Source organism: Homo sapiens, chromosome 1, assembly GCF_000001405.40.
Source record: "Homo sapiens chromosome 1, GRCh38.p14 Primary Assembly".
In the NCBI taxonomy this organism is placed as follows: domain Eukaryota; kingdom Metazoa; phylum Chordata; class Mammalia; order Primates; family Hominidae; genus Homo; species Homo sapiens.
The window spans coordinates 91,500,850-91,525,951 of NC_000001.11; the positions used below are offsets into that span (position 1 = coordinate 91,500,850).

At 36.6% G+C, this 25,102-nt stretch overlaps 1 protein-coding gene and 1 long non-coding RNA gene across 18 annotated transcripts in view, besides 2 other annotated features; one reads left to right on the forward strand and one right to left on the reverse strand.

Moving 5' to 3' along the window:
• The first annotated feature begins 1 nt into the window (after position 1).
• Positions 2-24,915, forward strand: CDC7 (cell division cycle 7). Of its 17 annotated transcripts, none has more exons than NM_003503.4 (12): positions 2-99; positions 805-982; positions 7,005-7,088; positions 7,413-7,548; positions 10,748-10,841; positions 10,932-11,074; positions 12,209-12,458; positions 13,099-13,194; positions 13,970-14,148; positions 14,945-15,027; positions 19,281-19,430; positions 23,192-24,915. In NM_003503.4, the coding sequence occupies exons 2-12, from the start codon at positions 868-870 to the stop codon at positions 23,584-23,586; spliced, it is 1,725 nt and encodes a 574-aa protein (NP_003494.1). In that variant the 5' UTR covers positions 2-99; positions 805-867; the 3' UTR covers positions 23,587-24,915. The 17 variants fall into 17 exon arrangements, with proteins under 17 accessions (NP_003494.1, NP_001127891.1, XP_005271298.1 ...); NM_001134419.2 differs by having other exon boundaries at positions 839-982; XM_005271241.3 differs by having other exon boundaries at positions 2-28.
• Positions 644-843: an enhancer, noted in NCBI's record as "active region_1303". NCBI's record gives its function as "activates an Ori minimal core promoter by ATAC-STARR-seq in GM12878 lymphoblastoid cells {active_cell/tissue: GM12878}" and the evidence as "EXISTENCE:reporter gene assay evidence [ECO:0000049][PMID:35858748]".
• The window catches only part of LOC102723436 (uncharacterized), a 50,981-nt gene continuing 43,562 nt past the window's right edge, over positions 17,684-25,102 (reverse strand). Inside the window, exon 5 of the long non-coding RNA XR_007066219.1 lies at positions 17,684-17,826. This is a non-coding gene — a long non-coding RNA (uncharacterized LOC102723436). The remainder of the gene's footprint in view (positions 17,827-25,102) is intronic.
• Positions 22,811-22,880: an enhancer, noted in NCBI's record as "active region_1304". NCBI's record gives its function as "activates an Ori minimal core promoter by ATAC-STARR-seq in GM12878 lymphoblastoid cells {active_cell/tissue: GM12878}" and the evidence as "EXISTENCE:reporter gene assay evidence [ECO:0000049][PMID:35858748]".

Genomic DNA, 25,102 nt, shown 5'->3' on the forward strand with positions numbered 1-25,102 from the left:
TGTTGCGCAGGCGCATCCGATCGACTCGGTAGGTGGGGATCTCTTGGAGACGGCGACCCAGGCATCTGGGGAGCCACAGAAGTCGTACTCCCTTAAACCGTGAGTTTCCGACGGTTTGTTCCATGGCGCGGGATTGTGAGGGATTAGGAACGAATTCTGGATCGTGACTTCGGTTTTCTCGCCGTGCAGTTCCTTTTCCCGCCCCCCTTCGGATCCCTCCGACCTGCGGCGGGAAAGTCGCGCGCCTGCGCACTAAGCATCTGGTTCGGTCTCTGGCCCGAGGGAAGCCGGTCCTTCCCGGCTGAGCTCGCGGCCAGCGCTGGCCGGCGGATTCCCATTCATTCACCCTTCTCCTCCTCCGCCCAGTACTCGTGGCCAGGGTCGTATCAGTTCTCCGTCAACTTGCTTGGGGCCTTGGACGAGCCTCCTGGCGCTTCCTGTCAGTGGCGAAAAGGTTTTCTCCCTCAGTTCTTTTCCTGACTTCAAACCGCCCCCGGCGCTCGGCCCCTCCCCCACGCGGTCCCGCTGGCTGTGCCGGACTGGCAGCCTCGCCGTTTCCCACTGCGCCTGCTGCTGCGCGGGTGCCCAAGCCGGGAAATTCTCCCTGCAGCCCCCTGCCGGTGTTTCTGATAGGTGAAAATAAAGCACATGGAATTCCTTAGACAAGGCCACAGTATGCCCTACTGTGGAGGTTTGGACACATCGTGCGTTTGAAAATGTTTGCCCCTTTGGGGGGCAGTAGCATGTTTTTAGTGCGTGGTTTAGCGAGTGATCTAAATTTCTCTAGTGTTCTAATTTTCACAGCTGCTTTGCTCCCCCTGTGGATGTAACCCCTTAGCTGGCATTTTGCATCTCAATTGGCTTGTGATGGAGGCGTCTTTGGGGATTCAGATGGATGAGCCAATGGCTTTTTCTCCCCAGCGTGACCGGTTTCAGGCTGAAGGCTCTTTAAAAAAAAACGAGCAGAATTTTAAACTTGCAGGTACGTGTTTAAATCCAAAGATGTACAGTTATAAAGATTTTTCAGGCAACAATTCTGTGTTTTCAATTCCTCTCAAAAAATAAGATTGAATCTTATAAAGTGAATTGTATGTTTCTATAGGACAGTGTTAAAACAGAGCTTCGTATGATCTAAATGTAGGACTGAATTGCGATTTGGAAGACTGTAATACAACCTGTTTTACGGTTGAAGTTGCTATGGTCTCAGTATTGGTAATTAAGAATGCAGAAATTTGATGATGCCCAAATTAAATTTCTCTTTTGTATCTGTGTTCTTATCTCTACTCACCACATTGCCTTAAGCTTAAATGTAGAAATTGACACTGGAGATCATCACTTAAGTATTCAAAAGCAGAACTCACAGACAAAAAAATATGAAATGTTTGTAGCAATAATAAAGCACCATATCTCAGTGTACAGCATGAAATGTTCTTTGACCGTAAACCAGACCTTAGGGTGAATAAGACAGGGTCAAGCAGTGCCTGCTCTTGTACACTCGCATGTGTACCTTCATTTCTGCTCTGGCACAGGACCTGGGACATAGTAGGTATTTGTTAATAATAAATATTTGTTAAATAGAGGAATTCTAGTTGACTGTATTTTTTTTTTTCTGAAAGGGTAGCCAGATCATCTTTCCCATCTTTGTCTTAAGTGAATTCTGTGCTTGTCTAAAAGATACTTATTTTGACCTTTTGTCCATATATTCTTTATAACCCCACCCTAGAAAAATATGACATCACATACTTTCTGCTTTGATGGAAGTCAGTTATCCCACTTACCTAAACTTGAAACTTTAATCTTCAGCTGATGCTTTTTATTTGTTCCCCATATCGTCACCTAGCTTTATTTCTTTTTAGTAAGTATGGCATTGTGTCTTCTTTCCATTCCCATTTCCACCACATTAATTAATTTCCTTACACTTTGTTCCTGATTTACAACAGTTTCTCACCTATGCTGCCTGCTTGCACTTTTCCATTCTTCAGTTCATCTTGTATGTTGGTGCTAGAATAATCTTAAAATGCCACTTTCATCCAGTTTCATGGATACTGTTCCTCTTCCTTTCCATTTTTCCAGCAGTTAGCTGTTTTTTTAGTTCATCTTTCCCTTACTAGTCACTGGACACATAACACAGTAACACAGTCATTGTAGTATTCTTTTTCTATTGCTTAGGACTCTGCATTTTGTCTCCACTGTAAACCCCTTGGCGGCAGTATCTCCTCTGGTTTCTAAAGTATGTTGTGACTTCAGCAGAGTATCTGAATGGATGACTCTGAATTGGTTCTAGCATCATGTTTAGGAGAATGCCACTATTCTAATATTCTGAAAATCTGCTGGGAAGTAATGAATGGGGTGAATTTTATTACGGATTTCAAAAGTTTTGTAGCGTTTATGTAACAGAACATTGGACATTATAATATGATAAATTATAAAACGTGCTAAAACTTTACTCTTATGGTTCTTTTTTAAATATGATCTTAATAACAGCTAAAGTTATATAAACATAACTTCAATAGGGAGCAAAGCTGATGAGGTCCAGGCACATAACAGTCTAGTAATCTAATTGGGAAAGTAAATCAAATTAGATCATGAGACAGGTATATGCCTGCACCTCATCAACTTTACTCCTTATTGAAGTTATATTTTTGATTGGATGTTTTATATATCTTAGCATTCCCAGAGCTTAACAGTGTCCAGCACATAGTAGGTGCTTGAAAATATTTGAATGAATGATTTAATGTAAGGATATAAAGTAAAATACTTAGTGTAATGGATGAATAGCATGTCTCTTTATTTTGAGATATTTGTCAGATTTTTATAACATTTTTCTGATAAACATGATTATTGAAATTTTTGAAGTAAAGAAAGCCAAAATAAAGTCTTTTCCCATTATTGAAATATTGCCACTGTTGACATTTTGTTATATTCCTTTAGCCTTTCTAGGCATACATAGGTACATTTTTTAGAAACTAAATTGGGATCTTGTTTTGTTTTTGTTTTTGAAAAGAGAACCAGAATATGGGATCTTATTTCTGATCTCCATTTTTTTTAATATATATCTTGAATATTGCTCATGTAGTAAATATTCTACAACTGGATTTAAGGTCCATTGCATATTATATTATAATATATTCAATCACCTTTTACTATTGACCCTATAGATTGTTTCTATTTTTTCCTATTAAGAAAAATGCTGTAATGCACAAACTATCTGGCATAATATTGGTCAAATGTTTATTCTTTCACTGTTTTGGCAAGCTTTTTTTTTTTTTTTTGAGACATGGTCTCTCTGTCACACCACTGTCACTGGAGTGCAGTGGTGCAATTACAGCTCACTGCAGCCTTAACTCCTGCACTCAAGCAATCCTACCCCCTCAGCCTCCTGAGTAGCTTGGATTACAGGCATGTGCCGCTACACTCAGCTAATTTTAAATATTTTTTTTAGAAACAGGATCTTGCTATGTTGCCCAGGCTGGTCTCAAACTCCTGGCCTCAAGTGATCCCCTCCTATCTTGGCCTCCCAATGCACTGGGATTACAGGTGTGAGCCACCATGCCTGGCCAGTAAGCTTTTATTTTTTTTTAAGTATCTACTATATGCCAAGTTTTAATAAGTGAGAAAGATCTGTTCAGTGAAAGAATGATGTATAAACTCTATATTGAAAGTCTCCTCCATACTGGTGAACTCTACTGGAAGGAAGGCTTGCTTCATTCTGTTTGCTACAATGACACCCTTAGCCATGCTTCTAAAATGGGCTATGGGTACCATCTTTGTTTGCCTGGGACAGATCTAGCTTACGGCTATTGTCACAATGTAATTATTATTCCTGCTGCCTTTTCACTCAAGAGTGTCCCAGTTTGGGCTTATATTATGTATTATCCCCTAGTTCCAGGAGGTATAAACCAGAGAGTACATGAAGCCCCAGAATAACCATGACTATATGCCTAGAGTGTCAGTTTTAATCCATGACAAGATATTGAAAACGTTTCATTTATGTGATGAATATTTATTGTCTGTTATATACATGTACTTTTTTAGGTGCTAGGGATAAATCAAACCATAAAACAGAAATTAACACTGTGGTAGTTAGACAATAGACAGAGAGTAAACAAAAGAAGTAAATACTGTGCTCAAAAGTGATTAATGTTACTAAGAAAATGTAAAAGGGAAGGGGAGATAGGAAGTATTGGGGAAGGAGATTGTAATTTTAGTGAGTATGGTTGCTCATAGCCTTCTGTAACATTTGAGCTAAGACTTCAAGGTGGTGAAGGAGTGACCTGTGCAGATATTTGGGGAAGAGCATTCCAAACAGAGGAAACGGCAAGTACAAAGACCCTGAAACGGCAAGTACAAAGACCCTGAGATGGGAGTGTGCCTAGCATTCAAGAATAGCAAGGAGGTCATTGTGGCTAGAATGGGGAAGGTAATTGGAATGAAGTCAAAGAGAGATGTAAAGAGGCTTTCTAATGGAGTGAGATGTGAAACCATTAGAGGTTTTGAGCACAATAGTGACAAGGTGACTTAGCTTTATCAGAATACTCTGTTTAAACTCTGTTTGCTATGTTGCAAGCCGACTGGCTACTATGTTACAGATAGACTCCAGGCTGGCAAGGAGTGTAGTTAAGGAGACTATTGGTATATTAAAACCAACTTGGATATATTATGCAGCAGAAAACAAAAGTGACTTAAAATGTCAAAATAGAAGCCTAGACCTTCATGTATAAAATAGAGGCATTTAAATAATTTTTAGCATATTATAGATTTTCGGGATCCTCCTCCAGTCCTCAAAGTCTGTTTCATTTGTCTGTCTTTAGTACTGTTTTCCAGCTTTTGACATGAATGCACTTTTCTGCTTTCTGCTGTCATTTCCCACTTCAGAATTTGAGGATATTGCATTCACTTTGGTTGCCAGGAAGTTTTACTGTTGTTTAAAATTGTTGAAGTTGTTCTGAAGTGACAGGAAACCTTAATAAACATTTTGATTTTTGTAAAGAGGAGTAGATGCATAATAAGTGAGTAGTGGTGTGGAAGTACCCTTAATGTTTCTCCTCCCTTTCACATCTGTTCTCCACTTGTCATTTTTCTGCTTAAAAACTTCCTATAGCTTTCATGTGCATTCTCTCTTGTCTTCCTCAGCCACATTCTATTTCTATTATTGTTATTATTGTTATTATTATTGAGACAGGGTCTCCCTCTTCCATCACCCAGGCTGGAGTACAGTGGCACGATCATAGTTTAGTAACCTCAAACTCCTGGGCTCAAGGTATCCTTCTGCCTCAGTCTCTGTAGCTGAGACTACAGGCCCGTGTTACAAAGCCCAGCTAATTTTTGTTTGTTTGTTTGTTTTTTAGCTTTTTTAAGAGATAGGGTCTCAAACACCTGGCCTCAAGCAGTCTTCTTGCCTTGGTCTCCTAAAGTGCTGGGATTACAGGCCTGAGCCACCGCCCCAGGCCACATTGTATTTCATTGTCTCTCAGCCCTCCCCCTACCCTAATCATCCAAGCCTTTTTTTTTTCTTGTTCCTGTCTTTACAGACGTAGTTAATTTTTCCTAAAATGTTTTCTTCCACTTTCACTACTTGGTGAATGCTTCAGAACAAAACTTAGCTGTCAACTGAAGGCTTCCTATCACCTTCAGAAATCCTCCCCAACCTAGTAGTATATACATTCTTTTATTACAGGTGTCACCTTGTATTAAGAATGATAACATGTTTCCTTTACTAGACCAAGCTCTTAGTGGCTGCATCAAATTTATTGGTTTTTTTTACATACCCATTGCTGAGCATTTTTTAAGACAGCGTTTATTTAAATGAATTAGTTCTAGCCAGGTGCGGCGGCTCACACCTGTAATCCCAGCACTTTGGGAGGCCAAGGTGGGCAGATCACTTGAGGTCAGGAGTTCAAGACCAGCCTGGCCATTGTGGTGAAACCCCGTCTCTACTAAAAACACAAAAATTAGCTGGGCGTGGTGTTGCGTGCCTGTAATTCCAGCTGCCCATGAGGCTGAGGCATGAGAATCTCTTGAACGCAGGAGGCAGAGGTTGCAGTGAGTGGAGATTACATCACTGCACTCCAACCTGGGCAACAGAGTGAGACTCCATCTCAAAAAAGAAAGAAAATTAGAAAATATATATAATCAGCAACACCTCTGTGAAATTGGGCAAATGATTTAACCTCCCTGAATTGAGTTTCCTTATCTGAAAAATCAGGATAATCATTCCTGCTCTGCCAAGTTCACAGTACTGTTAGGAAGACCTCAAAAGATACTGCATGTGCCGGTGCTTTGAAAATGTCTTAAACTTATGCTATATAGGGCTAGTAGAGCCTAGATACTGTAATAAAATCTGAAGACTTATCTAGTTCTCTTCTGTATCCAGTAGTTTACTGGGTTTTGTATTATTGCCTCCCCTTGTTTTAACTATGTACATTTTTATAAAGAACTGATACTTATTTAAAAGTAGCAATTTATCTGCAGTCAAGGATAGAGGATACTACTGGCAATTGGGACAAATTTTTAAAAATACTTTTTTACATGCTTGAGAGCTTTAGTAGGCCTTCTCTCTGAAAATATAGTGTGAATATTTAATACATAAAATTTTACCAAGCCTTTAAGATTTTGTATCTTTACGGGAAATAGTTTTCAAGAACATCGCAATGTGTCCTTGTCATGCCATCTAGTGATCACAGCACAAATTGTTTAGTTATTTTAAAAATTTGGTGCTTTTTCATGTTGTAATCTCTACAGTAACAATGTATCTCTTAGTATATAATTCCAGTATAGTAGAAATTTGGTGTATTTAATTCTGGGACTGTCATTTTTGTCTGTTCAAGAGGTGTGTGTGAGTTATAGCAACTTGATGGGTTTTAATCTTATCACAATGTTATTAAAACTTATGTATAATTAATTACTCATATTTTATAATTTATTTCATTGAGCTTTTTAAATTTTAAGAAACTGTAAAATATACTGTCATTGATTAAAACTCTAAATTTTTGTTTCCTTGAAAGGTGTTAAAAAAGATATTGAGAAGCTTTATGAAGCTGTACCACAGCTTAGTAATGTGTTTAAGATTGAGGACAAAATTGGAGAAGGTAATCTGGGGATATGCTTTTACTATTTTTACGAGGTCTTTTTTCCATTCTATTTTCCTTTTTTAGTCTTGGTTTTCATTACTATTTCTTATTGAAAAATATACCACTTTTTAGACTATTAAGACCATAGTTTTATTACTAATTATGGTAACAGCTTTTCTTTTTCAACCTTAAAGAAAGAATAAATAATAAATATTTACTGTAAAATGAAGTCCTGTTTTAATGTATTATGCCATTGAAACAGTTTTTACAATCTATCTTAGAATTGTTTCATTAACATTTTTAAAAACCAGATATTGAAAAATTTAATAAATTGTTTTACAGGCACTTTCAGCTCTGTTTATTTGGCCACAGCACAGTTACAAGTAGGACCTGAAGAGAAAATTGCTCTAAAACACTTGATTCCAACAAGTCATCCTATAAGAATTGCAGCTGAACTTCAGTGCCTAACAGTGGCTGGGTAGGCAATTTAAACATATTTTAATTGAACTTGTATATAATTTATAAGATTTTAAAGTAGATATTTAGCAGGGATGAGGGGATTATATGTGAATTAAATACATTTTTCAGTCAAGTGTTTGCAATTTGCTAGCACTTTCCTTCTAACCTTGCAATAGTTAGTTAAATTTATAGTAATTCTTTTAGATTGGATTTCCCTTGAGGCTCGACCTGATTTCCTGTCTTTTATCACTGCTTTTTGTAACCTTCCTGCCAAATCATAAACCTTGGCTTTCATGGTTTACATTATTTTGTAAATGTAGGGAACTCACATTTCACATTTCCCCAGCTATTGACGACCTCATCTAATATTTTATTTAGAATAACAGAATCATCTGGTATGGTTTCTCTCTGCTAGGTCATTTCTGTCAACATATGGACATGATTTAGAATCTTACCCTCCTAAACTGCCCTCCTTCTTCCACCTGCTCCATCATTTCTTTGTTCCCCCTTACAGCCAGACTTCTCAAAAATTATCTGCATACATTGTTTTCATTCCACACCTCTCTTTCACTAAATACCTATTGCGGCTGTTCTTCTCTATGCTAAACTGGAAACTATAGAGTCAATCATTACTCTAGGCATCATTTAACACAATTGACGTGAACCCTTGTCTTGACTTCTGTCCTGCCACACCCTCCTTGTTTTCTTCTTCCCTCATTTGGCCTTTCATTTTCAGTGTCTTTGCTAGCTCTTCCACTTCTATCTGACCCCTAAATATTGGAGTTCCTCGTGCTTGCTCTTAGGTTTCTCTGTATTCTTAGTGTCCTCCATTTCCACATGATCTAAAGTAATGATTCCCAAAAGTATATAGTTAATCTCAGACCTTTTATCTTAACTACAGGTTTGTGTATATCCACCTGCCTATTTAACATTTCCACTTGGTGCCTGATAAATATCTCAAACCTAAAAGACAAACCTAAACCTTAACATACCAAAAAAAAAAAAAAAAACACCACAACAAATGTTCTTATCCACCCGTCTCTGCAAATGGCCCATCTACACACTTGTTTGGGCCAGAAACCTAGAAATCATCCTCATTTTCTCTATTTCTCTCCTAAACCACATTAATCACTAAGTCCTAGCCATTTTGGCTCTAAAGTATATCTAGAAGTTCATCCATGTCTTTCTGTCTTCTCTGCCACTACCTCAGATGAAGCCTAGACTACGACTGTAGCCTGCTTCTTCCTTCTCCCCTTAATTCTGTCTTTACACAGCAGCCAGAATGATCTTTAAAATATAAAATATATATGTATATAACTTAAATTGGGTCATTAGTTCCACCACTTAAAATCTTTCAGTGGTTTCCCTATGTACTTTGAAAAAAAAATTCAACCTTCTCATGCCTATCTTCCCACCTCCCTCACTGTGCTCCATTTCTTTAGTTTATCAAATTTGTCTCAAGAGCTTTCTTACCTCAGGGCCACTGCCCAGACTGTTTCCCCATTCAGGAAGACCTCTCCCAGTCATTGCTTGCTGACCCTTCATCTTCTGATCTGAGCAAGAGTGAAACTGGACGCAGTAGTTCATGCTTGTAATCCCAGCACTTTGGGAGGATTGCTTGAGGCCAGGAGTTTGAGACCTGCCTGGGCAACCTAGCAAGAACCCATCTTTACAAAAAACTTAAAAATTATCCAGGCAAGGTGGCACACATCTGTAGTCCCAGCTACTTGGGAGGCTGAGGTAGGAGGATCGCTTGAGCCCAGGAGTTTGAGGCTGTAATGACCTGCGATCACTCCATTGCACTCCATCCAGCCTGGTCAACAAAACAAGACCCTGCCTCTGAGAAAAAAAAAAAAGAGTGACATTGCTTGAAAGATGTCTTCTCTGAATTAAATTAGATTCTCCTATTTTTTTTTATTGTCATAGCATCTTTAGATTTCTTTCAAAGCCCTTATCGTATTCTGTCATTATAAGTTACCTTGTTATTATCTGTATTGTCCACTAGATAGTAAACTCCATGAGGACAGAAATTCTGTAAATTTTATTCACTATTGCATCACTAATGTCTATAATCCCTAACAGCAAATAACAGTGCCAACTAAATACTGAATGAATGAATAAGCCTGTTTGTTTCAGCCTTCTGTGTATTATAGAAGACAAGAAAATGAGATGGCCTCTATAAAGAATGCTTGCATACATTCTTGTACCCTAAATATGATCATTTCTTTTTCTATATTTTTAACTGTCTCCCTCTACCACTTTTTCTTTTTCTGTGCTTAAAAAAGTACATGCTAAAAATGCCTTCATCTGATCTTACAATGCAGTCAGGCAAATTGTCTTCAGGCTCAGCTTCCATTGTGTTATATTTTCCTTCCTTCTGTTTTGTTTCTTCCTTTCCACTTAAATTGCTGTCTTAAAAATTACCAGTTAATTATTCTTTGCCTAACTAAAAGCCTTCCCTCAGTTGTTATTCTCTTTGACTTCCATGCTAATAACTCTTCCTTCAAAATTCCTTTCTTATTTGGCTCTCTAACTTGGCTTCTTCCAAGCTCAGTTTTCTTTTCTCGCTATTAATTTTCATGTCTGTAGGTATCACTTCTCTGCAGGTACTCTCACTGACTTCTCACTTGTCTTCTCACTTAAGGCTTAGTCCCTTGTCTAGATAACTCTATCAAAATGATGAGGTCTGGTTTTAGATGCTTCTTTTACTGGCTTCTCTACTCATTTTTTGGTATCTCTATTGTTTTCTTACTCAGGCTCAAAATCATAGAAATCACCTTTGTCCTATTTTCCTCTTTTATGAAGCAGTGTAACATAGTGATTAAGAACATATATCTGGAGCAAAATGCCTGGGTTCAAATCCTGGCTCATTGATCTATTAGTTTAGTGACCTTGATTTATTTATTACTGTTACCATCTTATCTGCTAAGTCTTATTAATCTTTTCCCTTTTTTCTCATTCTGCTGCTTCCCCAGTCACAACTATAATTACCTCGTTTGAATTATTATAGTAACTTCAAAACTGGTGCCATTTTTGTTTTAAAAGAAAACTTTAACACGAGAACACAAGTCACTTGTGTTTATATTATGTGATGATGATTTAAGTCAGTTTTCTAGCAATATGTATGCATTGCTAAAATTGCGGTTTTTAAAATTAGGCATAAAGTTTCAGTCCCTCTGACCTTTCTTCTAAAAGTTCCTTGTGCATTTTTCCACTAGGGGGCAAGATAATGTCATGGGAGTTAAATACTGCTTTAGGAAGAATGATCATGTAGTTATTGCTATGCCATATCTGGAGCATGAGTCGTTTTTGGTAGGTTTTAATATTTCTTGAATTTTTATTAGCTAAATATTTAATTGCAAACAATATTTGTAACTCATTTCATTTGTAACTTTGTTTTAGGACATTCTGAATTCTCTTTCCTTTCAAGAAGTACGGGAATATATGCTTAATCTGTTCAAAGCTTTGAAACGCATTCATCAGTTTGGTATTGTTCACCGTGATGTTAAGCCCAGCAATTTTTTATATAATAGGCGCCTGAAAAAGTAAGTATGAAGAGTTACTAGAAAATATTTATCCTATTTCTTTTAAAAAACAATTTTATTGTCTATATTTAAGGTATTGAACATGATGTTATATATAGTACAAAAGTTACTATTGTGAAGCAAATATTTATCTCAGTTACCCATCTTATTTTTGTTTTTACGGCAAGAGCAGCTAAAATTTACTCATTTAGTATGAATCTCATATACAGTACAGTTTTATTACCTGTAATCTTCAGAGTGTGCATTAGGTCTAGATTTATTTATCCTACATATCTGCTACTTTGTATCCTCTGACTTATATCTCTTAGATATAATATAACATACTGCAATAGCCATGCACAGATTATTTCTGTTTCAGTTTCTTTGTGATTGGAAAGGGAAATTTGGTGATGAAGAAGATAAAATTGTATTAGTGGAATAATGTACATTATTAGATGTACTATGGTTCAGTGGAAATAGCATGAACTAACAGACTTAGAGTCTAATAATTTTTGACCTTAGACATGTCTCTTATCTCTGGACTTCATTTTTCTTTTCTAGTAAGTGAGGGGATTGGACCACATGATAGCCAATTTCCTGTTTTAACACAAAAGTTTTATTTTTATGTATACTTTTTAATGCTGATTATAATTATAGAGAAATTATAAGCTAAAAATAACATAAATACCTCTATATAATGGATCATATTAAACATAATAATATTATAACTTCTTTTTTGAGCTTTTATATGCCTGACTTTTTAATTTTCTTTAATTGGATCAGATTTTAAAACCATGATTTTAATTTTTTTAAGCTTTCTTAACTAGAAATTATCTGCTATGATGCCATCTCTGCCACCATCAGAGAACAACGGACTGTGTTTATGTTATGTATTCCTCTTCTGCCTTATTAACACAGACCACTGGAAAAAGAAAATTTGATTGTGGGACAACTCTTAATTTTCAATCCTGGTTAGCTGTTAAATTCTTACTTTGTCTGGAAAACTTATTTTTTTTTCTTTTTTCCAGAATGTTATAAATTCCTAATTGATCCCAAAAAGAATTACAGTTTTTATGAGGATGGTTTGAGAGTATTACAATGTTACTAAGCTTTAATTGCTACAGATAAGTAAAAATGCTTAATTTTGTCTCTTAGGTATGCCTTGGTAGACTTTGGTTTGGCCCAAGGAACCCATGATACGAAAATAGAGCTTCTTAAATTTGTCCAGTCTGAAGCTCAGCAGGAAAGGTGTTCACAAAACAAATCCCACATAATCACAGGAAACAAGATTCCACTGAGTGGCCCAGTACCTAAGGAGCTGGATCAGCAGTCCACCACAAAAGCTTCTGTTAAAAGACCCTACACAAATGCACAAATTCAGATTAAACAAGGAAAAGACGGAAAGGTTCTATCTCTTTTATTTCTTAAGTACCGACACTGTTTTAGAAATATACTCCTTCAACCAACAGAGGGAGATAGAATACTAGGATAGTACTTATAATTTAAAAAACTTTTTTTTGCATTTGTTATATGTATTCATTTGATTAAATTTTCACTAAGATTTGTACTGAATCATTTTGGTTACTATTTTAAAACTAAAATTTACTTTGTCAGTTTATAACATCTGTCATTAACTATTATGAAATCATATTTTATGACAAAAATGGAAAATATTAAATTTTCCCTGCATGTTAAAAAGTTCAGATTAATTATCCTTTTTAAAAGAAAGCATTAGTTATAGGGGAGGAATTCTGAAGTGTCTATCTCCATTTTAGCTGCACAGCAAAATGTAACATCCATGCAGGTGGTTTTTGAATTTTTTTTTAGTTATATATATTTGTGGACTATGATAACATTGTATGGGTGTTGAGTTCTGTCTAGACTATTTTCTCCTTTCACAGAAGTGGTTTGGTGCCTGAGAATGACTTGGATGCAGCTGTTTTTGTTTCATCTCACTTAACTCTTTCAAAACTATGGCAGAGTACAGCTGGCAGAAAGTGTTACAGATATAATCCTTATTTTCCTTGTTTTTGTTGGTATTGTAGGAGGGATCTGTAGGCCTTTCTGTCCAGCGCTCTGTTTTTGGAGAAAGAAATTTCAATATACACAGCTCCATTTCACATGAGAGCCCTGCAGTGAAAGTAAGTAATGTAGCTTAATAGCATAATGGTCAGTCAGTCATACACTGAAGAGAATTTAGGTAATAACTAGATTAACATTTATTATCAGAAATTTTTTTAAACTAGAGTTTGGCTTTGGCAGAAGGTATTACTGCTTTAAGCATTTAGTCAAAACTTGTTTTCTCCAGTTTTTTTCTGAACTTTTCTGGTGGAATTTTTTCTCATTTTTGGTTAGCTATTACTGTCTTTCTCTAGAGGAACATTTAGAACATTAAGGGCTTTCTGTCATTGCTAGAGTGTGAGCTCCATACAGTTAGCTAACTATTCTGACACATAGTTGATAGTGTAAAGATGTTTGTAAAGTTAACAAAATCATCATCAATGTAGATGATTTCAGATTGACTTATGATATCTTGTGACAGCTAGACAGCATGAGCAACAAATTAAAACTGTGATTTTAGCCAACGTACTTGTGCAGTTTACAGTTCTGAAATGGAGTTAGACACTAGAACATAACTGTTTTATACTTCTGTAATATATCAGGAAAAGTTCTAATAAAGTATAACTCAAATATTGGCCAAGCTAGGACTAATTAGTAAATTTTAATATAAGGTGACTTTACAGAAAAACCCAAGAAGACCTTAAACATTTTAATAGACAACAGTTTATTTACAGTCCAATAGCCATTCAGCAGTTTTTAAAGTTATGCTTCCGCTATTGCTTTTTGCCATACTAGCATTTTAGGACATCATGTTTAATATCATGAAAATAGAAAAATGAGACTTTTCTTTTACAGCTCATGAAGCAGTCAAAGACTGTGGATGTACTGTCTAGAAAGTTAGCAACAAAAAAGAAGGCTATTTCTACAAAAGTTATGAATAGTGCTGTGATGAGGAAAACTGCCAGTTCTTGCCCAGCTAGCCTGACCTGTGACTGCTATGCAACAGATAAAGTTTGTAGTATTTGCCTTTCAAGGTAATGTGTTTTGATGGTGTTATAAAATCACCAGCATGCTGCCATTAGAAATTGCATTGACTTGGGTGGATAATTTTGTGAGTGCAAGGGATCAGTTCAGATCAGTGAACTGCAATGGGCCTTGATGCAGAGCAGTAGTATGTTGAAGAGCAAATGATAACAGTTTTCATATATTATTTATTTAATATGGATATACTCTGGAAAACACATTTGCTCTTATATGCAAATAAGTGGGACGGGGTGGCTTTTAGAAGCTTAGAATCACACATTTTGATTGCTGATGTAGTCTTTTCTGTTTTCTCTTTTTATTCCCGCTTATGTGGAGTAACCAGAACCAAATAGTAGAGCTCCTCTTTTACTCCCACCTCCAACTCTTTGACTCATAAATTTCTTCCTTTCCTTCAAGGCTTGGCTTTCATAAAGCCTTTCTTGATTAACTCAAATATATAAGTGTATCTGTGATCAATTACTCCAAACAAATGAATTTTTATACCTGTGAATTGCTATTGGGTTCTATTTTTTCTATTATGGCTCTTATTATCCACTACTGCTTTTTATTCTTGGAGGTTATTTTAAACCTTTCTGGAGTAAGTCCGGGGAACTAGTAGAGGGGGTAAAAAACAGAAGAAGAAAAATCTAGGATTTTTATCACACTAGATTATCATTTACTTTATAGTAACACTTATTATATAGGTATCAAGGCAAAATTTACTGTGAACTAAATTGATGAATGTTATTTTTTAGACTTACATAGTTCAACTTTAACATAACTAGAGAAATCTTATTTCATCATAAGGCGTCAGCAGGTTGCCCCTAGGGCAGGTACACCAGGATTCAGAGCACCAGAGGTCTTGACAAAGTGCCCCAATCAAACTACAGGTATGTTGTACTGGAAATACAGAACCTAGTTAAAATGGATTGTTCCAGACGTATTTTATTTTATGATCTTTGTCTATTTATAACTAATATTTGAGTTCTTCTGCTTTTAATTATGTAAGCAGTTCTTGCAGTGTGGCATTCCTATTTTTGAGCTAATGCTATTCTTTATGAAAGTTTTTAATCCTAATGTTGCCTCTCTTTTTTTGTTTAAACAGTTTATTCCATAGATTACATTTTGCGTATTTATTTACAAGATGATCTTACCATCTTGTAAATAAATACGCAAAATGTAATCTGTGGAATTTTGCTGACATCACCTTTGTGGGGGAAAAAATTATGTTTAATAGTTTTTGCCAGCCAAAGACTTAAAGCATTTTATTTGCTTGCTTAATACCTCAAAAGTTTCCTGTGATGTAGATATATTTGTGTTTGATTAAAATTACTTTTGTTATTATATAAACAATATAATAGCAGTTAGAAGGTTTTGAAAAAGAAAAATGTCTTCCGTAATCTAAAAACTTACCATGGAGCTGGAATCCAGGAAACATCTTGAATGAATAGATGAATCCTGCTATTCACTTGGATTATGGGCTTTGAAGAAATGTATTCATTCATTGAATGTCTGTTCTTGCTTGCTAATGATAACAAATAAATAAATGAGACCATCTGTTCACACTCTAGTCAGGACACCATCAAATAATTATAAAATAACCTGTTGAGTATGGTAATAAAACTTATTCAGGGTATTTAAGGAGTATCTAACTATCCTAACCCAAAGAGATTATGAAAGGCAATTCATGAAAGAAATGACCTCTTAGAATGTAAATTGGGCTGAGAAGTTAGCATAGAGGCATGAGCCAAGGAACTCAAGAAACAGCATACAGGAAACTAAAAAAGTTTCATTTTGGCCAGACGCGGTGGCTCATGCCTGTAATCCCAGCACTTTCGGAGGCTGAGATGGGCGGATCACCTGAGATCAGGAGTTTGAAACCAGCCTGACCAACATGGTGAAACCCCATCTCTACTAAAAATACAAAAATCAGCTGGGTGTGGTGGTGCGCACCTGTAATCCCAGCTACTCAGGAGGCTGAGGCAAGAGAATCACTTGAACGCAGGAGGCGGAAGTTGCAGTGAGCCAAGATCGCACCATTGCCCTCCAACCTGGGCGACAGCAAGACTTCATCTCAAAAAAAAAAGTCCAATTTTGCTAGAATATTAAGATGCAAGTTGAGGAATGGTGAGAGATAAACCTGGAATGAGGTAGACAAGGTCAGACCACAGTTGTTACAGTTTGGACTATATACTGTAGATATTGGAAAGTTAAGTGAAAAAAGTGACAATGGTATATCCTAGATGGATCATTCTGGCAGGCGTGCAAACAGATTAGCTTTTGGAGAGTGGTGGCATGAATTTGTCCGGGTGAGAGGATGAAAATGTGAATGAGGGTATTGGTAATAGGAATGAAAAGAAAAGTGAAGGGTTAGAAAGGCAGAGCTTGGTGGATAATTGGATGTAGAATTAGGGTGTGGTATGGTGAGGGAAAAAGGCATTCAGGATGTTTACCAGATTCCTAGCTTGGGAGACTTGGATGTGTACCAGTAACCAAGGTGGAGAGTAAAGGAGAAGTAACTGGTTTATAGGGGAAGGTAAGGTTAGTTTGGGGTATAATTGGTTTGAGGTATTTGTGGGACATCCAAATAGAGATTTCCAGCAGAATCAAAGTTAAGTCTGATGCTCAGCGAAGGAGCTGGGCTAGAAATACAGATGAATGTCATCATTATATAAATGACAGTTGAAGCCATGAAGTGGATGGACCAATCAGGGAGAGTATACAGAGGGAGAAGTTAAAACTCTGAGGAATATCCGTCAGCACTTAAGGCTTGGAGAAAACATTGAAGGAGCAGGCAGAGGTACCAAAGGAGCTAAGAAAGGCAAGTAGGGCCGGGCACAGTGGCTCATGCCTATAATACCAGCACTTTGGGAGGCCAAGGCAGGCAGATCACTAGGTCAGGAGTTCGAGATCAGCCTGGCCAATATGGCGAAATCCCGTCTCTACTAAAAAGTACAAAAAATTAGCAGGGCATGGTGGCACACACCTGTAGTTCCAGCTACTGGGGAGGCTGAGGCAGGAGAATTGAACCCGGGAGGCAGAGGTTACAGTGAGCCAAGATCGCACCATTGCACTCCAGCCTGAGCAACAGAGTGAGACTCAGTCTCAAAAAAAAAAAAAAAAAAAAAAAGGTGATACAGTAGCCCAAGGAACAGAGAGCAGATAACCTGGTGATACTAGGAAGTCAACAATTAAGAGAGATGTCAACTTTAAGAAAAAAAAAAAAGAGCTTTTTAACATCAAGTTGAGCTAGTCGTAATCTTTAACTACCAGAATTCAGAAGATTAAAGTTTCTATAGTGGGAATGTAAATTAGTACAACCACTATGGAAAACAATTTGGACGTTCCTCAAAAAACTAAAAATAGAGCTACTACATGATCCAACAATCCCACTGCTGGGTATATACCCAAAAGAAAGGAAATCAATGTACCGAAGAGGTATCTGCACTCCCATGTTTGTTGAAGCACTATTCATAATAGCCAAAATTTGAAAGCGACCTAAGTGTCCGTCAACAGATGAATGGATAAAGAAAATGTGGTACTTACACACAATGGAAGTACTATTCAGCCACGAAAAAGAAGATCTTGTCATTTGCAACAACATGGATGGAACTGGAGATCATTATGTCAGGTGAAATAAGCCAGGCACCGAAAGACAAGAGTTGCATGTTCTCACTAATTTGTGGGATCTAAAAATTAAAACAATTGAACCCATAGAGAGCAGAAAGATGGTTACCAGAGGCTGAGAAGGGTGGTGGGAGGGTGTGGGGGATGTGGGGACAGCTGATGGGTACAAAAAATAGTTATAAAGAATGAATTATCCAGCACTTTGGGAGGCCAAGGCAGGTGGATTGCTTGAGCTCAGGCACTCGAGACCAGCTTGGGCAACATGGTAGAACCCTATTTCTACCAAAAATACAAAAAAGTAGCTGGATGTGGTAGTGTGCATCTGTGGTCCCAGCTACTCAGGAGGCTGAGGTGGGAGGATCACTTGAGCCTGGGAGGCGGAGGTTGCAGTGAGCCGAGATCACACTACCACACTCTAGCCTGGGTAACAGAGCCAGACCCCATCTCGAAAAAAAAAAAAAAAGAATGAATTAAGACCTAGTATTTGATAGCACAGCAGGGGGATTATAGTCAGTAATTTAATTGTGCAGTTTAAAATAACTAAAAGAGTACTTTGAGGGGCTGAGGCAGGCAGATCACTTGAGCCCAGGAGCTTGAGACCAGCCTGGCCAATGTGGCAAAACCTCGTCTCTACTAAAAATACAAAAAAAAAAAAAAAAAAAAAAAAAAGAGCTGGGCATGGTGACATGCCTGTAATCCCAGCTACTCAAGAGGCTGAAGCATGAGAATTGCTTGAACCTGGGAGGCAGAGATTGCAGTGAGCTGAGACTGTGCCACTGCACTCTAGTCTGGGCCACAGAGGGAGACCTTGTCTCAAAAAGAAAAAAAGAAAAGAATATAATTGGATTGTTCGTAACACAAAGGATAAATGCTTGAGGGAATGGATACCCTGTTTTCCAGGATGTGATTATTACACACTGCATGCCTGTATCAAAACATCTTATATACCCCATCAATATATACACCTACTGTGTACTCAGAAAAATTAAAGTCTTCACAGTCACAAAAAAATAAAAAAGTAATTTTTTAAAAGTTTCTATAGCAGTAGTTGGTGCTAGTGTCAGCTGAAGAAGAGCTTCTAATGTTCATTACTTTTCACTAAAATGAAAGCACTTTGACCAGTATGGTATGTAATTCTCAAGGATCATTCAGATTTTTTCCCACATAGCTATTTTTGGATTCCTTTTGATCCTATAAAATGTGCGTTTACTTAGTGTTTCCTAGTGATTAAATATCCTTTTAAATTTACCAACACGTTGCTCAAGAAAGAAAACATATTTTGCAGTGAGGATTCTCAGTCCTGGTTGTACATTAAAATCACCTGAGGAACTTTTTTAAAACATTGATGCCTGAGCCCTACTTCAGAACTGTTCAATCAAAATCTTTGGGTCTGGGCATCTGAAATTTTTAAGGCTCCCAAGGTGATTCTAATGCATAATAAATGTTGAGGACTATTGATTTAGATGATAAAATTATAGATTTGAAATTTATTTTTAAAATTTGTCTTCTGTTGCAGCAATTGACATGTGGTCTGCAGGTGTCATATTTCTTTCTTTGCTTAGTGGACGATATCCATTTTATAAAGCAAGTGATGATTTAACTGCTTTGGCCCAAATTATGACAATTAGGGGATCCAGAGAAACTATCCAAGCTGCTAAAACTTTTGGTAAGCAGTTTTGTATTATAGAACCAAACAAAATGCCTTTGATTATCTCCTACAAATCACTTAATAAATTATTGTGAAATTTTCTTTACAAATAAACATTCAGTCTTGATAAAGTTCTCTAATATTAAGTAGAAAATTCTTCAGTTGCTTGAAAATAAATTTATCACCTCTCTATACATATAATCATTTAATCTTATTAAGCACAAAGTAATACACTGTTGCAGTATTTAAAGTTTACCTTTATAATTTTATAAGAATAAGGAGTAAAATCTTAACTCCTTTTAGTTATGGTTTGACTTTTATTACATAAATTTACCTTTTATTAAAGGCATGTTTTACTTTGTAATATGTTTTACTTTTTTATTGTCTTTTAAACATCAGATGCACTATGTCTTGGTACTTAGAGTGTCCTTGCCTTAAATGATCTTAGGCTATACTAACAAGTAAACAGTTAATTATTAATACAGTGTAATAAGGACTAGGGAAGAGAATGGAAATGTGTGTTGTCAGGTTGTGTAGGTTTACGGTAGCAGAGAAGCAGAATGCATAGAAGGCCTTAACTGATGGGATATTATTGTAAGCATATATTGGACTTGGATGTCATCTCCTTAGCCACGCAAGTTCTTCAAGACTGGGATGTGCAGTGTACTTCATAGGGCACATAAGAATTATCTCAGCCTTGCTCTGGCCAACAATCTGAACTCAAGTGCCCATTTAATGTTTATTTTCCACGCTCAGTTATAGTTAATACTTTCCAAGGAATAAGTGGGATTGACTCAGCTTACTACCATACAATACAGAACACCTCAGGAGACAAAGTTTCAGCCAGCCTACCTCAAGAGTAGCTGGGCTGTCTTGTGCTCAACCCCAGGATCAGTGGGTCTTAACCAGAGTTGCATGTCAGAATTATCTGAGAATCTTTAAGAAATACATATGCCTGCCCACTCAGCCTATTCTTGGAAAATATGATTCAGAAAAACAAGATACTTAGGAAGGCTCCAGCCTTGTTAGTTTGAAAAAGCAAGTGATTCTGACTAAGAAACTATGGGTGTTTAAGAACCACTGCAAAAATTACTGCCCTTGCTTATGCACTAGTGCTATAGTCTAATCTACAAGAAAAACTTAGTGGTGGTTGTGAAGAAAGCCTCATCTTAATAGAGGCTTGCCAAAATATGTTTCTACAGTAAAGTCAGTCCACGATTTGTAACTATCTTGTACTTATTGTAAGAAAATTTTATTTGAAGATAATAGGATGAAATAATACAAGGGAAAAAAAGTGACCATGAGTGGAAAGCAAGATTGATATCTTAGAAATGGCATTCTTACATAATAATATAACAAGTATGTTTATTCTCAACTGAGAAAACTTTCATCTACTATTGAATAACTTCGTGAGAGGTTTATGAACATGAAGTTTATCAGCCAATACCAACATATTTTATTGAAGAGCTTGAATCTCCCCCATTGTAATCCAAGTTATAATCAGGGCCAACAATGGAAATACAACATCTGACCCAAAAATACTCTAGATCAAGTGCCATGATAGCAAGCAAGAGCTTTTAGAGATTTATCATTGTAATACTTCTCATATTAAAAAAAAAATAGGGCCAGCCGTGGTGACTCACACCTGTAATCCCAGCACTTTGAGAGGCTTAGGTGGGCAGATCATGAGGTCAGGAGACCGAGACCATCCTGGCCAACGTGGTGAAACCCCATCTCTATTAAAAACACAAAAATTAGTTGGGCATGGTAGCATGCACTTGTAGTCCCAGCTACTCGGGAGGCTGAGGCAGGAGAACCAGCTGAACCTGGGAGATGGAGGTTGCAGTGAGCCAAGATTGCACCACTGCACTCCAGCCTGACGACAGAGCAAGACTCTGTCTCAAAAAAACAAATAATAAAAATAATGCCATAGGACTTGTCTCAGTTGTATTAGTATGACATCTGTAGTTATTTTAGTCTTGATCTTACTATAACTTTGGACTGAGTATAAAAGCCTCAAAATTTCAACAAACACAACTGTGTTCCCCTTTGTAACCTAAAGAAATGACTTGGCTGAGATTAGCAGTGAGAGCACCTTTACTTCTCTTATCTGTCCTCAACCCTTAAACCTGGCTCCATTGTGGGTTGTCATTAAGTACTCAGTGAATTGTGTTGAATAAATTAAAAAGAAAAGTCTTGAGCTGAAACAAATTCCTGACACATAGTAGTCTGTAATAAAATATGTTGACTGATAGTGTTACTTGAAGTTATTTTTCCTGAATATTGTAAATGAACCCTCTTTTTGGTCATATAAAAAAAAGCATATTGTATAACTTGGGGACATGCTATAACATATACTATTAGTTATTTTATGACTTCAGAACAAGCTAATAAAGGAATAAAACTATATGAATATTCCCCCCTGGCTATAATTTTCTAGAGAGAATAGGAATGATAGAATCAGTTTAAAAGTAAAAAAGCATTGGCATATTGTACTCTCAAAGAATTTGGTCTTCAGTAATTGTTTGTTTCCTCCCTTTCCCTCCCCCATTTTTTTCCCTGGCTTAGTACACCAGTCCAGTAGTTAGTTCAGAATATGTAAAGGTAACTTTTTATCATCCACAGTCAGATTAATGACTTTGTTGACAATCTACATTCTCAGAAAGGCATCTAAATGTTGTGGTACTTGTTGTTTCGTACATTTAGTATATTTCTGTTTAATAAGGAAATGTAAGGCAAAAATAATACATGATTGCCATTTGTGTGATTAACTTTTTTTTGCACATCTGATAATAAACCCATCAGGAAGTTATTTCAAATACATTTATATTTTTAAAAACAGATCTAGTTTGTTTATTTGTTCATTCAGAAACATTTATTGGGGCTTTATGTGTGCCAAGTACTATTGCGAGTCTCTGCTTTCACAGAGCTTAAATTCTAGTGAGGGAGAGAACATAAATAAATACTATGAGAAATGAGTGGTACTGAGATAAAAGGAAAAGGGGAGGGAAGAGGCTTATTTAGGATAGGTTGGTCAAGAACAGCATCTCTAAGGATGTATGTGTCATTTGAACAGTTGTTGAAAAGAATAATGCCTTTTTGTCTAGTCCAACAGACATTAACTGACTACCTAATCTGTACCAGGCATAGGCTGGGTTTGGGGGGTTCAAAGATAAATAAGACAGTTCCTGCCTTCAAAGAGCTCAGTCTACTAGGTGGGACAGACATATATAGGATAGCAAAAGTAATAGTAGAACTCTCAAGATACAGTAGAAACTGAAATTGATCAGTTCTCTCTGAGGGTGTCAAGCCTCAGAGGTGATTCTTGATCTGAGTGGTGATGTCAGTGAGAGTGTCCTGGGCACACAAGGGGTGCAGGGCATCCTAGGCAAAGACAGGAGTCATGTAGTCAAAGACATAGAAGCATGGAAAGGAAGTAGAGTGGGGGCGTGGGAGCTGCAGCTAGTTAAAGATTATAGAAGGGTAAGATGAAGCTTGAGAAATTGGCAGAGTCAAGTGAGTGCCTGGCATAGCTTAGTAAGTCACTGCTTTGTACTTACTATCTCCCACTTTATCTCCCACTATGCAATTCAAATACAACTTAAATATAGCATGTGGTGCTCTATCTCATACTGTGTGTGTGTGTGTGTGTGTGTGTGTGTGTCCATGTCTATAAAGCATATGTTTGAACTTTCATGTTTCTCATGAGAGAGGCTTCTGATATATTCAAATAATAAAATGTTTTTTTCTGTTTTTGTTTTTTCTTCTTTTGCTTTTAGGGAAATCAATATTATGTAGCAAAGAAGTTCCAGCACAAGACTTGAGAAAACTCTGTGAGAGACTCAGGGGTATGGATTCTAGCACTCCCAAGTTAACAAGTGATATACAAGGGCATGCTTCTCATCAACCAGCTATTTCAGAGAAGACTGACCATAAAGCTTCTTGCCTCGTTCAAACACCTCCAGGACAATACTCAGGGAATTCATTTAAAAAGGGGGATAGTAATAGCTGTGAGCATTGTTTTGATGAGTATAATACCAATTTAGAAGGCTGGAATGAGGTACCTGATGAAGCTTATGACCTGCTTGATAAACTTCTAGATCTAAATCCAGCTTCAAGAATAACAGCAGAAGAAGCTTTGTTGCATCCATTTTTTAAAGATATGAGCTTGTGATAATGGATCTTCATTTAATGTTTACTGTTATGAGGTAGAATAAAAAAGAATACTTTGTAATAGCCACAAGTTCTTGTTTAGAGACCAGAGCAGGATTAATAATTTATTTTAACATTTTAGTGTTTGGTGGCACATTCTAAAATATAGATTAAGAATACTTAAAATGCCTGGGATAGTTCTTGGGACTAACAACATGATCTTCTTTGAGTTAAACCTACCTAAGTAGATTTTAGGTGGGTTCCTATTAGGTCAGATTTTTAGCTTCCCTAATTACCTTTCACTGACATATACAGAAAAAGGAGCAGTTTTAGTTTTAATTAATTAAAATTAACAGATGTGATGAGGATTAAATGAATCAAAAGACTTAATTTGTAGATTCTTTTAGAGTTATGAGCTAGGTATAGTTTGGGGAAACTCAACCTGGTGCTGGTGCTCTTAACAATTTTGTAAATAAAGAAGATAATTTCCTTTTCTAGAGGTACATATTAGGCCTTTTATGAACACTAAAACAATGAGGAAATGTTGGTCATGGGGCAAAGTATCACTTAAAATTGAATTCATCCATTTTTAAAAAACACTTCATGAAAGCATTCTGGTGTGAATTGCCATTTTTTTCTTACTGGCTTCTCAATTTTCTTCCTTCTCTGCCCCTACCTAAAACATTCTCCTCGGAAATTACATGGTGCTGACCACAAAGTTTCTGGATGTTTTATTAAATATTGTACGTGTTTACAGTTGGGAATTTAAAATAATACATACACTGGTTGATAAAGGGAAGCTGCAGGACCAAGGTGAAGATTGATAGTCCAAATGCTTTTCTTTTTTGAGTTGTATATTTTTTCACACCATCTTAGATATAATTAGGTAGCTGCTGAAAGGAAAAGTGAATACAGAATTGACGGTATTATTGGAGATTTTTCCTCTGCGTAGAGCCATCCAGATCTCTGTATCCTGTTTTGACTAAGTCTTAGGTGGGTTGGGAAGACAGATAATGAAGTAGGCAAAGAGAAAAGGACCCAAGATAGAGGTTTATATTCAGAAATGGTATATATCAATGACAGCATATCAAACTTCCTATGGGAAAAAGTCTGGTGGGTGGTCAGCTGACAGATTTCCCATTTAGTAGTCATAGAATACAGAAATAGTTTAGGGACATGTATTCATTTTGTTATTTTGAGCATTGATAGGTCAGTATATCTACCTAATCTGTTTGGTAAGTATAGGATATATAAACCATTACCATTGATCTGTCTTATGCCATAATCTTAAAAAAAATTTGAATGCTCTTGAATTTGTATATTCAATAAAGTTATCCTTTTATATTTTTTATGTCAGACTACTCATTTGAAAAATAGCTTTTTTTTTTAATTGACAACTGGGAATATTTTTCTTTTGAGATGGGTGAATGGTGATATTCTTTCAGCAAATAGTATGTTAATGAAACAGTCATGTTAACATATATTCAGAAATTAAAGAGGAAGAAAAATTTACCCAAAGGGTAGATAAGGAGACATTC

What these genes read in the sequence shown, in the direction of transcription:
- CDC7 (NM_003503.4), top strand. Translation starts at nt 868, where the DNA reads ATGGAGGCGTCTTTGGGGATTCAGATGGATGAGCCAATGGCTTTTTCT. An exon ending in GCAGAATTTTAAACTTGCAG is followed by an intron (nt 983 to 7,004) that starts GTACGTGTTTAA and finishes TTTCCTTGAAAG; the next exon opens with GTGTTAAAAAAGATATTGAG. An exon ending in TGTAGTATTTGCCTTTCAAG is followed by an intron (nt 14,149 to 14,944) that starts GTAATGTGTTTT and finishes TTTCATCATAAG; the next exon opens with GCGTCAGCAGGTTGCCCCTA.